Here is a 16,092-nt window from a genome sequence, read left to right on the forward strand (position 1 = left end):
GGTCCTCACTATGTTGCCCTGGCTTGTCTCGAACTCCTGGGCTCAAGCGATCCTCCCACCTTGGCCTCTCAAAGTGTTGAGATTATAGGTGTGAGCCACCACACCTGGCCACAGTTTCATTTCAGAATGTCCTTGTTGAAGCAGTAAAAATGATCAATTTTATTAAATCTCAACCGTTGAATATATTTCTTCTTAATATTCTGCGTGTCAAAATGAGAAGAATGGATAAAGTGTTTAGATTAATCATAAATCCAATGGTTACCTCTGGAAAGGCTCTCAGAGATGGAGTTGTGGGATGAGCCAACCACCACCTGTCATGGAACACCATTTATACATGGAAGAACCAAGAACAATTTATTATTATTTTGAGACTGAGTCTCACTCCGTCGCCCAGGATAGAGTGCAGTGGCGCAATCTTGGCTCACTGCAACCTCTGCCTCCTGGATTCAAACAATTTTCATGCCTCAGCATCCCAAGTAGCTGGGATTACAGGTGCACACCACTACACTGGGCTAATTTTTGTGCCTTTAGCAGAGATGGGGTTTCACCATGTTGTGCTGGGATTATAGGCGTGAGCCACTACGCCCAGCCAAATTATTATTATTCAGACTTGGGTAGCTGGCAGACATTGTTTCAAAAATGAACTGAGTCGGTCACATCAAGAAAAACAACTGACAGTGCTACCAATGATGAAATTCTTTTTCTTTTTTTTTTTTTTGAGATACAGTCTCGCTCTGTCACCCAGGCTGGAGTGCAGTGGCACCATCTCGGCTCATTGCCAAGATCTCGGCTCATTGCAACCTCCATCTCCTAGAAGGGTCAGGTGATTCTCCTGCCTCAGCCTCCCAAATAGCTGAGATTACAGGTGCGTGCCACCACACTTGGCTAATTTCTGTATTTTTAGTAGAGACAGGGTTTCACCATTTTGGCCAGGCTGGTCTCCAACTCCTGACCTCAAGTAATCTTCCCACCTTGGCCTCCCAAAGTGCTGGGATTACAGGCGTGAGCCACTGCGCCTGGCCAAAATTCTACTTTTTAAGTGAAAATTAGAATTTAAAAAAATGAAAAAAAATATCTGTTTTCATTAGCCTGGCGGCTGCCTACCACTTACAGATTTTATCCTCTCCTTTATTATTATTATTATTATTATTATTATTATTATTATTATTATTATTATAGAGATGGAGTCTCGCTCTGCCCCCCAGGCTGGAGTGCAGTGGCATGATCTCGGCTCACTGCAAGCTCTACCTCCCAGGTTCACGCCATTCTCCTGCCTCAGTCTCCTGAGTACCTTGGACTACAGGCACCTGCCACCATGCCTGGCTAATTTTTTGTATTTTTAGTAGGGATGGGGTTTCACCGTGTTAGCCAGGATGGTCTCGATCTCCTGACCTTGTGATCCACCCACCTCGGCCTCCCAAAGTCCTGGGATTACAGGTGTGAGCCACCGCACCCCGCCTCCTTTTTTTTTTTTGAGACAGAGTCTTGCTCTGTTGCCCAGGCTGGAGTGCAGTGGCTCTATCTCAGCTCACAACCTCCGCCTCCTGGGTTCAAGTGGTTCTCCTGCTTCAGCCTCCCGAGTAGCTGGGATTACAGGTGCCCACCATCACGCCTGGCTAATTTTTGTATTTTTAGTAGAGACAGGGTTTCACCATGTTGGCCAGGCTGGTCTTGAACTCCTGGCCTCAGGTGATCCACTCACTTCAGCCTCCCAAAGTGCTGGGATTACAGGAGTGAGCCACTGCGCCCAGCCAGTTTAATGTGTTTTATTTTATTTTATTTATTTATTTTGTTTTTTGAGATGGAGTTTCGCTCTTGTTGCCCAGGCTGGAGTGCAATGGCGTGATCTTGGCTCACCACAACCTCCGCCTCCCGGGTTCAAGTGATTCTCCTGCCTCAGCCTCCCGAGCAGCTGGGATTACAACAAGCATGTGTCACAACGCCCGGCTAATTTTGTATTTTTAGTAGAGACGGGGTTTCTCCATGTTAGGCTAGTCTCAAACTCCCGACCTCAGGTGATTCACCCGCCTCGGCCTCCCAAAGTGCTGGGATTACAGGCGTGAGCTACTGCTCCCAGCCAGATGGACTATCAATTATTAATAGACACTTCCTGGCCAGGCACCGTGGCTCATGCCTGTAATCCCAGCACTCTGGGAGGCTGAGACGGGCAGACCATGAGGTCAAGAGATGGAGACCATCCTGGCCAACATGGTGAAAACCAGTCTCTACTAAAAATTAGCTGGGCGTGGTGGCACGCGCCTGTAGTCCCAGCTACTTGGAAGGCTGAGGCAGGAGAATCGCTTGAACCTGGGAGGTGGAGGTTGCAGTGAGCCGAGATCGCGCCACTGCACTCCAGCCTGGCGACAAAGTGAGACTCCATCTCAAAAAAATAAAAATAAAAATAAAATAAAATAAAATAAAATAAACACTTCCATCTATTTGTCTGAGACCTTCTATCTCATATGCAGGCAATTCTAGGAGAGGTTGGGGTTACAAGGAAGTTGAGGGCAATGGTGAGAATAACCTAAAAGCTTGGGAGTGGTTATTCCCAAGAACTCTCATCTTGTGGACCAAGGAGGGTTGGAGAAATAGAGCCTTTGATTCTATTTTAAAAGGCTCAGGGAGGCCAAGCAAAGTAGCTCATGCCTGTAATCCCAGCACTTTGGGAGGCAGAGGTGGGAGAATCACCTGAGGTCAGGAGTTCGAGACCAGCCTGGCCAATATGGCAAAACATCATCTCTACTAAAAATACAAAAATTAGAGCCAGGAGCGGTGGCTCATGCCTGTAATCCCAGCACTTTGGGAGGCCAAGGCGGGCGGATCACCTGAGGTTGGGAGTTAGAGACCAGCCTGACCAACATGGAGAAACCCCATCTCTACTAAAAATACAAAATTAGCCGGGCATGGTGGCTCATGCCTGTAATCCCAGCTACTCGGGGGGCTGAGGCAGGAGAATCGCTTGAACCTGGGAGGCGGAGGTTGTGGTGAGCCGAGATTGCGCCAATGGGGCAACAAGAGCAAAACTCCATCTCAAAGAAAAAAAAAATTAGCTGGTTGTGGTGATGCATGCCTGTAATCCAAGCTACTAGGGAGGCTGAGGCAGGAGAACCATTTGAACCTGGGAGACGGAGGCTGCAGTGAGCCAAGATCACGCCACTGCACTCCAGCCTGGGTGACAGAGCCAGACTCAGTCTCAAAAAAAAAAAAAAAAAAAAAAAATGGCGGCGGGGGAGCTTGGGAAAAGTGATGAGAGAAACCTGAGGTCTGACAGGTGCATGAGGAAATCTCACCTGTGACCCAGAAGAGGGTCGTACTGTGCTGCTCTGCGTTTCACAGGGCATGCCACATTTTTTTTAAAATAATTTCAACCTTTATCTTATTATTTTCTTGAGATGGAGTCTTGCTCTGTCACTCAAGCTGGAGTGCAGTGGTGCAGTCTTGGCTCACTGCAACCTCCGCCTCCCAGGTTCAAGTGATTTTCCTGCCTCAGCCTCCCAAGTAGCTAAGATTACAGGTGCCTGCTGCCATGCCTGGCTAATTTTTGTATTTTTAGTAGAGACGGGGTTTCACCGTGTTGGCCAGGCTGGTCTTGAACTCCTGACCTCAGGTGATTCGCCTGCCTCGGCCTCCCAAAGTGCTGAGATTACAGGCGTGAGGCACCCACCGTGCCCGGCCATATTATTATTATTTTTTGAGATGGGGTGTTGCTTTGTTGCCCAGGCTGGAGTGCAGTAGCTCGATCACAGGTCACTGCAGTCTCACCCCCGCAGGCTCAAGCAATCCTCCCACCTCAGCCTCCTGAGTAGCTGGTGCTATAGCAAGTTCCACCACACCCTGCTAATTTTTTGTAAAGGTGGGGTCTCTCTATGTTGCCAAGGCTGGTCTCAAACTCCTTGGCTCAAGCCATCCTCCCACCTCGGCCTCCCAAAGTGCTCGGATTACAGACCTGAGCCACCGAGCCTGGTCTCCCAGCTTTTATTTTAGGTTCAGGGAGGCGTGTGTGGGTTCGTCACCTGGGTATACTGCATGATGCTGAGGCTTGGGCTATGAATGATCCTGTCATCCAGGAAGTAAGCATAATACCCAACAGTTTTTCAACTCTTACTCTCCACTGTCCCTCCCCACTCTAGGAGGTCCCAGTATCTATTGTTCCCATCTTTACATCCATGTGTGTACTCAATGTTTTTTTTTTGTTTTGTTTTGAGATGGAGTTGCGCTCTGTCGCGTAGGCTGAAGTGCAATCATGCAATCTTGGCTCACTGCAACCTCCACCTCCCGGGTTCAAATGATTCTCCTGCTTCAGCCCCTCGAGTAGCTGGGATTAAAGGCACCTGCCATCATGCCTGGCTAATTTTTGTATTTTTGTAGAGACAGGGTTTCGCCATATTGGCCAGGCTGATCTTGAACTCCTGACCTCAGATGATCCACCTGCCTCAGCCTCCCAAAGTGCTGGGATTACAGGTGTGAGCCACCACACCCAGGCAATGTGTACTCAATGTTTAGATCTCATTTATAAGTGAGAACACGCAGTCCTTGGTTTTCTGTTCCTGGGTTAATTTGCTTAGGATAATGACCGCCAGCTACATCCATGTCAGAGCGAAGAACATGATTTCATTAGTGTTTATGGCTGGGCGTGCTGCATTCTTTCACTGCTTGCTGAGCATCAGCAGGGAAGCATTGCCTTGGGAACGGAACTTGATGGGAGGCCTCCTTGGGACCTCTCTCCTTCTCCGCCTCCTCCTCACTCTCCTCCTTCCTCCTCCTCCATAAATTGGACCAAAACATATCCTGCTGGGGACCAAAACATATCTGCACTGGCTCACGCATGTAACCCCAGCACTTTGGGAGGCTGAGGCGGGTGGATCACTTGAGGTCAGGAGTTTGACACCAGCCTGGGCAACACGGTGAAACTCCATCTCTACTGAAAATACAAAATTGCTTGAATCTGGGAGGTGGAGGTTGCAGTGAGCCAAGATTGCGCCACTGCACTCCAGCCTGGGTTAACAAGTGAGACTCTGTTTCAAAAAAAAATATATATATATATATATATGGCCGGGCACGGTGGCTCTCACCTGTAATCCCAGCACTTTGGGAGGCTGAGGCGGACAGATCACAAGGTCAAGAGATCGAGACCATTCTGGCCAACATGGTGAAACCCCATCTCTACTAAAAGTACAAAAATTAGCTGGGTGTGGTGGTGCGTGCCTGTAGTCTCAGCTACTCAGGAGGCTGAGGCAGGAGAATCGCCTGAACCCAAAAGGTGGAGGTTGCAGTGAGTTGAGATTGTGCCACTGCACACCAGCCTGATAACAGAGTGAGACTTCATCTCAAAAAAAAAAAAAAAAATATATATATATATATATATATATATATAAAATAGAGGACCAATTTCAGCAGCATATTAAAAGGATTTTATGGGGCCGGGCATGGTGGCTCATGCCTGTAATCCCAGCACTTTGGGATGCCAAGGTGGGCGGATCATGAGGTCAAGAGTTTGAGACCAGCCTGGCCAACATGGTGAAACCCCATCTCTATTAAGAATACAAAAAGTAGCCGGGCGTGGTGGCACATGCCTGTAAATCCCAGCTACTCAGGAGACTGAGGCAGGAGAACTGCTTGAACCCAGGGGGTGGGGGTTGCAATGAGCCAAGGTTGCGCCACTGCACTCCAGCCTGGACGACAGAGCAAGACTGTCTCAGGAAAAAAAAAAAAAGTATTTTATCCATGAACAAGTTGGATTTATTCCTGGAATGCAAAGATGTTTTAACATATGAAAATTAATCAATGTCATATACCACATTAATAGAATAAAGGGAAAAATCTTATAATTGTCTCAGTTGATGCAGAAAAAGTATTCGGCAAAATCCAATACTCTTTCAAGATTTAAAAAAAAACACTCAGCCAGGCACGGTGGCTCACGCCTGTAACCCTAGTACTTTGGGAGGCCGAGGCAGGTGGATCGCTGGAGCTCAGGAGTTCAAGACCAGCCTTGGCAACATGGCAAAACCATGTCTCTACCAAAAACAAAAATTAAGCTGGGTATGGTGGTGCATGCCTGTAGTCCCAGCTACTTGGGAGGCTGAGGTGGGAGGATGGCTTGAACCCAGGAGGTGGAGGTTGCAGGGAGCCATTATCAGGCCACTGCACTCCAGCCTGGGTGAGAGAACAAGGCCCTGTCTGGAAAAAATAAAATAAAACTAGAACTAGAAGAATTTTCCTCAACATGGTAAAGGCCATACATGAAAAACAGAGTTAACATCATATTCAATGATGAAAGACTGAAAATTTTCCCCATAAGATCAGGAACAAAACAAGAACCACCACTTTGGCCACTTCTATTTAACAGAGTATTGGAATTTCTAGCCAGAGAAATTAAGCAAGAAAAATAAGTAAAAGTTACCTGAATTGGAAAGGAAAAAGTAAAATTATCTGTACTTGCAGATGAAATGATTTTATACGTGGAAAACCCTAAAGCTTACATACATACACAACTATTAGAGCCAATAAATGAATTCAACAAAGTTGCAGCATACAAAGTCAACACACAAAAATCAGTTGCATTTCTTTACACTAACGATGAATAACCCCAAAGAGAAATTAAGAAAACAACTCTATTTAAATTACCATGCGGCCGGGTGCAATGGCTCATACCTGTAATCCCAGCACTTTGGGAGGCTGAGGTGGGTGGATCACCTGAGGTCAGGAGTTCAAGACCAGCCTGGCCAACATGGTAAAATCCAGTCTCTACTAAAAATACAAAAAACTGGCCGGGTGCGGTGGCTCACGCCTATAATCCCAGCACTTTGGGAGGCCAAGGCGGGCAGATCACCTGAGGTCGGATGTTCGAGACCAGCCTGACCAACACAGAGAAACTCTGTCTCTACTAAAAATACAAATAAAATTAGCTGGCCGTGGTGGCACATGCCTGTAATCCCAGCTACTCAGAAAGCTGAGGCAGGAGAATTGCTTGAACCCGGGAGGCAGAGGTTGCGGTGAGCCGAGGTCACACCATTGCACTCCAGCCTGGGCAATAAGAGCAAAACTACATCTCAAAAAACAAAAACAAAAACAAAAAATTAGCTGGGCGTGGAGGCGGGTGCCTGTAATCTCAGCTACTTGGGAGGCTGAGGCAGGAGAATCACTTGAACCCAGAAGGCAGAGGTTGCAGTGAGCCAAGATCACACCACTGCAATCCAGCCTGGGCAAAAAGAGCGAAATTCTATCTCAAGAAAAAAAAAAGCCATGAAAAGGAATCAAATAGGAAGAAATGTAACCAATGAGGCAAAATATTTGTAACTGAAAACTACAAAAAATTAAAGAGACATAAATAAAAAGATATCCTATGTTTATAGAATGTAAAATTTATTGTTTGTTTGTTTTTTGAGACAGAGTCTTGCTCTGTCACCCAGGCTGGAGTGCTGTGATGCGATCTTGGCTCACTGCAACCTCTGCCTCCTGGGTTCAAGTGATTCTTCTGCCTCAGCCTCCTGAGTGGCGGGAACTACAGGCACGTGCCACCACGCCCAGCTAATTTTTTTTTTTGCATTTTTAGTAGAGACAGGATTTTACCATGTTGGCAGGGCTGGTCTCGAACTCCTGACCTCAAGTGATCTGCCCGCCTCAGCCTCCCAAAGTGCTGAGATTACAGGCATGAGCCACTGCGCCCGGCCTGAATGTAAGATTTAATATTGTTAAGATGACGGTACTACCCAGAGCAATCTACAGATTCAATGCAATTTGTATCAAAATCCAAATGGTATTTTTAATATTTTACAGATATACAAAAACTCATCCTAAAATTTATGTGGAATCACAAGGCATCCTAAATAACACAAAAAAAGACGGAAAAAAAGGTCTGCAGAAAAAGAAGAAACCAGGTCTCTCATTTCCTGATTTCAAAACTTAAATACTAACCTACCACAATGAAAAGAGTGTGGTACTGGCATAAAGACAAACATATAAGGCCGCCTGTAATCTCAACAATTTGGGAGACTGAGGTGAGTGGATTGCTTGAGCCCAGGAGTTCAAAATCAACCTGGGCAACATGGCAAAACCCAGTCTTTACAAAAAATACAATTAGCTAGGCGTGGTAGCCTGCGCCTATAGTCCCAGCTACTGAGGAGGAGGCTGAGGTGGGAGGATCACTCAAGCCTAGGAGGCAGAGGTTGCAGTGAACTGAGATCATGCCAGTGCACTCCAGCCTGGGCAACAGAGTGAGACTCCGTCTCAAAAATAAAGAAAGAGAGAAAAAAATAGACACATATATTAGACCAGTGTGAGAGGTGACAGCGTGCTGGTAGTCCTCACAGCCCTCATTCGCTCTTGGCGCCTCCTCTGCCTGGGCTCCCACTTTGGCGGCATTTGAGGAGCCCTTCAGCCCACCACTGCTCTGTGGGAGCCCCTTTCTGGGCTGGCCAAGGCCGGAGCCAGCTGCCTTAGCTTGCGGGGAGGTGTGGATGGAGAGGCACGAGTGGGAAGCGGGGCTGCGCGCGGCGCTTGCGGGCCAGCTGGAGGTCCGAGTGGGCGTGGGCTTGGCGGGCCCTGCACTAGGAGCCACCAGCCGGCCCTGCCAGCCCCGGGCAATGAGAGGCTTAGTACCCGGGCCAGCAGCTGCGGACGGTGTACTGGGTCCCCCAGCAATGCCAGCCCACGGGCGCTGCTCTCGATTTCTCACGGGGTCTTAGCTGCCTTCCCGCCGGGCAGGGCTCCGGACCTGCAGCCCGCCATGCCTGAGCCTCCCACCCCCTCCATGGGCTCCTGTGAGGCCGGAGTCTCCCCAGGAGCACTGTTCCCCGCTCCTCGGCGCCCAGTCCCATCGACCACCCAAGGGCTGAGGAGTGCAGGTAGACAGCGCGGGACTGGCAGGTAGCTCCACCTGCAGCCCCGGTGCGGGATCCACTGGGTGAAGCCAGCTGGGCTCCTGAGTCTGGTGGGGACGTGGAGAACCTTTATGTCTAGCTCAGGGATTGTAAATACACCAATGGGCACTCTGTATCTAGCTCAAGGTTTGTAAACACACCAATCAGCACCCTGTGTCTAGCTCAGGGTTTGTGAATGCACCAGTCGACACTCTGTATCTAGCTATCTGGTGGGGCCTTGGAGAACCTTTGTGCTGACACTCTGTGTCTAGCTAATCTGGTGGGGAGGTGGAGAACCTTTGTGTCTAGCTCAGGGATTGTAAACGCACCAATCAGCACCCTGTCAAAACAGACCACTCAGCCCTACCAATCAGCAGGATGTGGGTGGGGCCAGATAAGAGAATAAAAGCAGGCTGCCCGCGCCCACAGTGGCAACTGGCTCGGGTCTTGTTACACGCTGTGGAAGCTTTGTTCTTTCGCTCTTTGCGATAAATGTTGCTACTGCTCACTCTTTGGCTCCACGCTGCTTTTATGAGCTGTAACACCGCGAAGGTATGCAACTTCACTTCTGAAGCCAGCGAGACCATGAGCCCACCGGGAGGAATGAACAACTCCAGACGCGCCACCTTAAGAGCTGTAACACTCACCGCGAAGGTCTGCAGCTTCACTCCTGAACCAGGGAGACCACGAACCCACCAGAAAGAAGAAACTCCAAACACATCCGAACGTCAGAAGGAACAAATTCCAGACGCGCCACCTTAAGAGCTGTAACACTCACCGCGAGGGTACGCGGCTTCATTCTTGAAGTCAGTGAGACCAAGAACCCACCAATTCCGGACACAAGTGGAATAGATTAGAGAGCCCAGAAATAAACCTTCTACATGGAAGATTAATTTTTGACAAGGGTTCCAAGACCACTTAATGGGGGAAAGAACAACCTTTTCGATAATAGCAGTGGGACAACTGGATATCCATACACAAAAGAATAGTCCGGGTGTGGTGGTTCACACCTGTAATCCCAGCACATTGGGAGGCCAAGGCAGGCAGATCACCTGAGGTCAGGAGTTCAAGACCAGCCTGGCCAACATGGTGAAACCCCATCTCTACTAAAATACAAAAAAATGAGCTGAGCCTGGTGGCATGCAGCTGTAATCCCAGCTACTTGGGAGACTGAGGCATGAGAATCGCTTGAACCCAGGAGGGGGAGGTTGCCATGAGCTGAGATTGCGCCACTGCACTCCAGCCTGGGTGACACAGCAAGACTCCATCTCAAAAAAAAAAAAAAAAAAAGTCTTTACAATAGATCAATTTAGGTTTTATATTTCTTTTTTTCTTTTCCTTTTTGAGTTGGAATTTCCCTCTTGTTGCCCAGGCTGGAGTGCAATGGCGCCATCTCAGCTCACTGCAGCCTCAGCCTCCTGGGTTCAAGTGACTCTCCTGCCTCAGCCTCCAGAGTAGCTGGGATTATAGGCACATGCCATCATACCCGGCTAATTTTTGTATTTATTTATTTATTTATTTTTGAGACAGAGTCTCGCCCTGTCACCCAGGCTAGAGTGCAATGGCACAATCTCAGCTTACTGCAACCTCCACCTCCCCGGTTTAAGTGATTCTCCTGCCTCAGCTGGGATTACAGGCGTGCGCCACTTGCCTGGCTAATTTTTTGTATCTTTAGTAGACATGAGGTTTCACCATGTTGGTCAGGCTGGTCTCAAACTCCTGATCTCAGATGATCTACTTGACTCAGCCCCTCAAAGTGCTGGGATTACAGACGTGAGCCACCATGCCTGGCCTAGATTTTATATTTCTTCTTAAGTTTGGTGTTTAAATTCCCCTAGGAATTTGTTCCTTTCATCTAATTTGTTGGCATACAACTGTTCATAGTATTCCCTGATAATTCTTTTACTTATCTAATGTTGGTAGTGATGTCTCCTCTTTTGCTCCTGTTTTGCAGTTTGAGTCTCCTCTGCTTTTTTCTTGGTCAGTCCATCTAAAGGTTCATCAATTTTATGGATTTTTCAAAGAACCAAATTATTTTGGTTTTACTTACTTCCTCTATTTTTTATTCTCTGCTGCATTTATTTCTGCTCATCTTTATTATCTTTTTTTTTTTTTTTTTTTTTTTTTGAGACGAAGTCTCTTGTCGCCCAGGCTGGAGTGCAATGGTGAGATCTCAGCTCACTGAAAACTACGCCTCCTGGGTTCGAGCGATTCTTGTGCCTCAGCCTCCTGAGTAGCTGGGACCACAGGCATGTGCCACCATGCCTGGCTAATTTTTTTATTTAGCAGAGACAGGCTTTCACCATGTTGGCCAGGATGGTGTCAAACTCCTGGCCTCAAGCTGTCTGCCCGCTTCAGCCTCCCTAAACTGGGATTACAGGTGTGAGTAATCCTCTGCCTCTGGGAGGCAGAAGTTGCAGTGAGCCAAGATCACACCACTGTACTACAGCCTGTGCAACAGAGCGAGACTCCACCTCAAAAAAAAAAAAAAATTAGCCGGACATGGTGGCACATATCTGTAGTTCCAGCTGCTTGGGGGACTGAGGCAGGGGGCTTGCTTGAGCCTAGGAGGTCAAGGCTGCTATAACCCATGTTTATGCCACTGCACTGCAGCCTGGGCAACAAAGTGAGAACCTGTCTCAAAATAAAAATAAAAATAAGTAAATAGGCCAGGCATGGTGGCGCATGCCTGTAATCCCAGCACTTTGAGAGGCTGAGGTGTGAGGATCATGAGGTCAGGAGTTTGAGACCAGCCTGGCCAACATAGTGAAACCCTGTCTCTACCAAAAATACAAAAATTAGCCAGGTGTGGTGGTGGGCACCTGTAGTCCCAGCTACTCGGGAGGCCAAAGCAGGAGAATCGTTTGAACCCGGGAGGCAGAGGTTGCAGTGAGCCGAGGTCATGCCATTGCACTCCAGGCTAGGTGACAGAGTGAGACTCCGTCTCAAAAAAAAAAAAAAAAAAAAAGGAAATAAATATAGCTTCCTAGGGGATTCTGTTTGCAGAGTGTGTCGAGAATATGAAGCCCAGAATTCAAGACTGCATTATGGACTGTGAAGGCTGAGGAGGGCTGTGAGGAAAGAGTGGGTAGGTTAAAGGAGCAGAAGCAACTGTCATGCCCTTTGGCTCTTCTATAGGAAAAGAGGAAAGAGTGAGCCTTGGGCTGTGTTTTGTGAGGGAATAGTGCCCTCCCTTTGTGGGTAAGCAAAGTTGGCTCGGAAGATGAAGACAGATGAGTCAAGAACGTCAGGGTGTCAGGGGGAGCACAAAAAGAAGGCGAAATATGCCCTTCTACACTCAAACTTGAAGGTATTCGGGGCCTGGTGGCTGGATCTGAGGCCATGCTGAGTCCTGAAGAGGGGACCAAAGTCTTGCTTTGTGAAAACTGTCTAGACTGTCCTAGCAATTCCATTTGTTTTTGACTGTCCTAGCAATTCCGTTTTTTTTTTTTTTGACAGCATCTCACTCTTGTCACCCAGGCTGGAGTGCAGTGGCACGATCTCAGCTCATTGCAACCTCCACCTCCTGGGTTCAAATGATTCTCCTGCCTCAGCCTCCCAAGTAGCTGGGATTACAGGCACCTGCCACTGCGCCCAGCTAATTTTTGTATTTTTGGTAGAGACAGGATTTCACCATCTTGGCCAGGCTGCTCTTGAACTACTGACCTTGTGATCCACCCACCTTGGCCTTCCAAAGTGCTGGGATTACAGGCGTGAGCCACTGTGACTGGCTTTTTTTTTTTTTTTTTTTTTTTTCTGAGACGGAGTCTCGCTCTGTCACCCAGGCTGGAGTGCAGTGGCGCAGTCTCAGCTCACTACAAGCTCTGCCTCCCGGGTTCGCGCCATTCTCCTGCCTCAGCCTCCTGAGTAGCTGGGACTACAGGCGCCCGCCACTGCGCCCAGCTAATTTTTTGTGTTTTTAGTAGAGATGGGGTTTCACTGTGTTAGCCAGGAGGTTCTCGATCTCCTGACCTCATGATCTGCCCGCCTCGGCCTCCCAAAGTGCTGGGATTACAGGCGTGAGCCACTGCGCCCGGCTGCCTTTTTAAATTTAAAAAACTTTTTTTTTTTTTTGAGACAGTCTCTCTCTGTCCCCCAGGCTGGAGTGCAGTGGCGGGAATCTCAGCTCACTGCAACCTCTACCTCCCAGGTTCAAGCAATTCTTCTGCCTCAGCCTCCCAAGTAGCTGGGATTACAGGCACACGGCACCACACCTGGCTAATTTTTGTATTTTTAGTAGAGATAGGTTTTCACCATGTTGGCCAGACTGCTCTCGAACTCCTAACCTCAGGTGATCCTCCTGCCTCGGCCTCCCAAAGTGTGAGTACAGGCGTTAGTCACCACTGCACCTGGCCTCCATTCTCATCTTTTCTGATTGGAGAACTCGGTTCTCCAGAGCACAGAAGTAGCACTTCTTTCCCCTGGTCCCTGGAGAGTAAGGTCTTGTTCACATCTGTGCATGGGGCTCAGATCAGGGCCTGGTGCAGAGAAAGTGCGCAATAAATGGGTGTTTAAGTCTGGGCATGGTGCCTCATATCTGTAATCCTAGCACTTTGGGAGGCCAATGTGGGAGGATCACTTGAGCCCAGGAATTCAAGACCAGCCTGGGCAACAAAGCAAGACCCCGATCTCTACCAAAAAATAGAAAAATTAGCCAGGTGTGGTGGCACGTTCCAGCTACCCGGGAGGCTGAGGTGAGAGGATTGCTTGAGCTGGGAGGCTTCAGTGAGCTGTGCTTGTACCACTGCACACCAGCCTGGGAGACACAGTGAGACCCTGTCTCAAAAAATATAATAAAAGTCTAAAAAATAAATGGGGGCTGGGCGTGGTGGCTCATGCCTGTAATCCCAGCACTCTGGGAGGCCAAGGTGGGCAGATCACCTGAAGTCAGGAGTTCAAGACCAGCCTGGCCAACATAGTGAAACTCTGTCTCTACTAAAAATACAAAAATTAGCTGGGCATGCTGGCGGGTGCCTGTAATCCCAGCTACTCAGGAGGCTGAGGCAGGAGAATTGCTTGAACCCAGGAGACGGAGGTTGCAGTGAGCCAAGATCACGCCACTGCACTCCAGCGTGGGCAACAGAGCAATACTCTGTCTCAAAAATAAATAAACATAGGCCAGGTGCAGTGGCTCATGCCTATAATCCCAGTACTTTCAGAGGCTGAGGCAGAAAAATCACTTGAGGTCAGAAGTTCGAGACCAGCCTGGCCAACATGGTGAACCCTCATCTCTACTAAAAATACAAAAATTAGCCAGGCGTGGTGGTGCATGCCTGTAATCCAGCTACTTGGGAGGCTGAGGCAGAAGAATTGCTTGAACCCAGGAGGCAGAGGTTGCAGTGAGCCAAGATTGTGCCACTGCACTCCAGCTTGGGTGACAAAGTGAGACTTTGTCTCAATTAAAAAAATAATAAGATAGCCAGGCGTGGTGGCTCACGCCTGTAATCCCAGCACTTTGGGAGGCCAAGGCGGGCGGATCACCTGAGGTCAGGAGTTCAAGACCAGCCTGGCCAGCATGGCGAAATCCCATCTCTACTAAAAGTACCAAAATTAGCCAGGTGTTGGGGTGGGCGCCTGTAATCCCAGCTACTCAGGAGGAGGAGGCGGCAGAATCACTTGAACCCAGGAGACGGAGGTTGCAGTGAGCTGAGATCACGCCACTACACTCCAGCCTGGGTGACAAGAGCAAGACTCCGTCTCAAAAAAATAAAATAAAATAAAATAAATAAAATAAAATAACAAATGGGTGTTTAAATGAATGATGTTCATGGAATCTCTCCCCAGTGCTTTGCTTTCCACAAAGTTCTGCATGGAAGTCTCAATAAATTGTGGTTGAATGCTTGACAGTAACTGTGATGAAAGCAGAATTCACCTTTCATCACCTGGCCAGCAAATGTTTTGTTGTCTTATTATTATTATTATTATTTTTTGAGATGGAGTCTTGCTCTGTCGCCCAGGCTGGAGTGCAGTGGCGTGATCTCGGCTCACTGCAAGCTCCGCCTCCTGGGTTCACGCCATTCTCCTGCCTCAGCCTCCCAAGTAGCTGGGACTACAGGTGCCCGCTACCATGCCCGGCTAATTTTTTTTTGTATTTTTAGTAGAGATGGGGTTTCACCATGTTAGCCAGGATGGTCTCGATCTCCTGACCTTGTGATCCGCCCACCTCGGCCTCCCAAAGTGCTGGGATTACAGGCTTGAGCCACCGCGCCCGGCCTGCTTGTCTTATATAGTATTGACCAGTAAAATGTTTTTTTTTTTTGAGCCAGAGTCTCACTCTGTCACCAGGCTGGAGTGCAGTGGCGTGATCTCGGCTCACTGCAATCTCCACCTCCTGGGTTCAAGCGATTCTTCTGCCTCAGCCTCCTGAGTAACTGGGACCACAGGCTCCCACCACCATGCCCAGGTAATTTTTGTATTTTTAGTAGAGACAGGGTTTCTTTCTCTTTCTTTCTTTTTTTTTTTTTTTTGGAGACGGAGTCTCGCTCTTTCACCCAGGCTGGAGCTCAGTGGCATGATCTCGGCTCACTGCAACCTCCACCTCCCAGGTTCATGCCATTCTCCTGCCTCAGCCTCCTGAGTAGCTGGGACTACAGGTGCCCGCCACCACACCCGGCTAATTTTTTGTATTTTTAGTAGAGATGGGGTTTCACCATGTTAGCCAGGATGGTCTCGATCTCCTGACCTTGTGATCCACCCACCTCGGCCTCCCAAAGTGCTGGGATTACAGGCTTGAGCCACCGCACCCGGCCCGTAGAGACAGGGTTTCACCATGTTGACCAGTATGGTCTCGATCTCCTGACCTCAGGTGATCCACCTGCCTCGGCCTCCCAAAGTGCTGGGATTACAGGAGTGAGCCACCGGGCCTGGCCAAGATGTCTTTCAAATAATTAAAGCCACATCTTTTTGTAGTTCATAAACGTGATGACTGTGTTTTCATGCTCATGCGTGAGTTGCACCTCCCTCAAACCTTGTTTTGACATTGACACATTATCTGCCTGATGTAAAAATAATGAAATCCAATATACTAAGATCAGGAGATTTCACAATAAAATCCCAATTTCTGTTTCTTTTAAAAAATCAGGCCAGCCATGATGGCTTATGCCTGGAATTCCAGCACTTTGGGAGGCCCAGGCAGAAGGATCACTTGATCCTGGAAGTTCAAGATCAGCATGGTTAACACAGGGAGACCTGGTCTCAATTTAAAAATTAGCTGGGCATGGCACTTTGGGAGACT

The 16,092-nt window shown here is 48.4% G+C and overlaps 1 non-coding gene across 1 annotated transcript; it reads left to right on the plus strand.

The window, feature by feature from the left end:
* The first annotated feature begins 15,755 nt into the window (after positions 1–15,755).
* On the plus strand, positions 15,756–15,859 carry LOC124903790 (small nucleolar RNA U13). The gene has a single exon (XR_007065235.1). It is a non-coding gene; the product is annotated as a small nucleolar RNA U13 (small nucleolar RNA).
* Positions 15,860–16,092: the final 233 nt, after the last annotated feature.

Source organism: Homo sapiens, chromosome 16, assembly GCF_000001405.40.
Source record: "Homo sapiens chromosome 16, GRCh38.p14 Primary Assembly".
In the NCBI taxonomy this organism is placed as follows: Eukaryota; Metazoa; Chordata; class Mammalia; order Primates; family Hominidae; genus Homo; species Homo sapiens.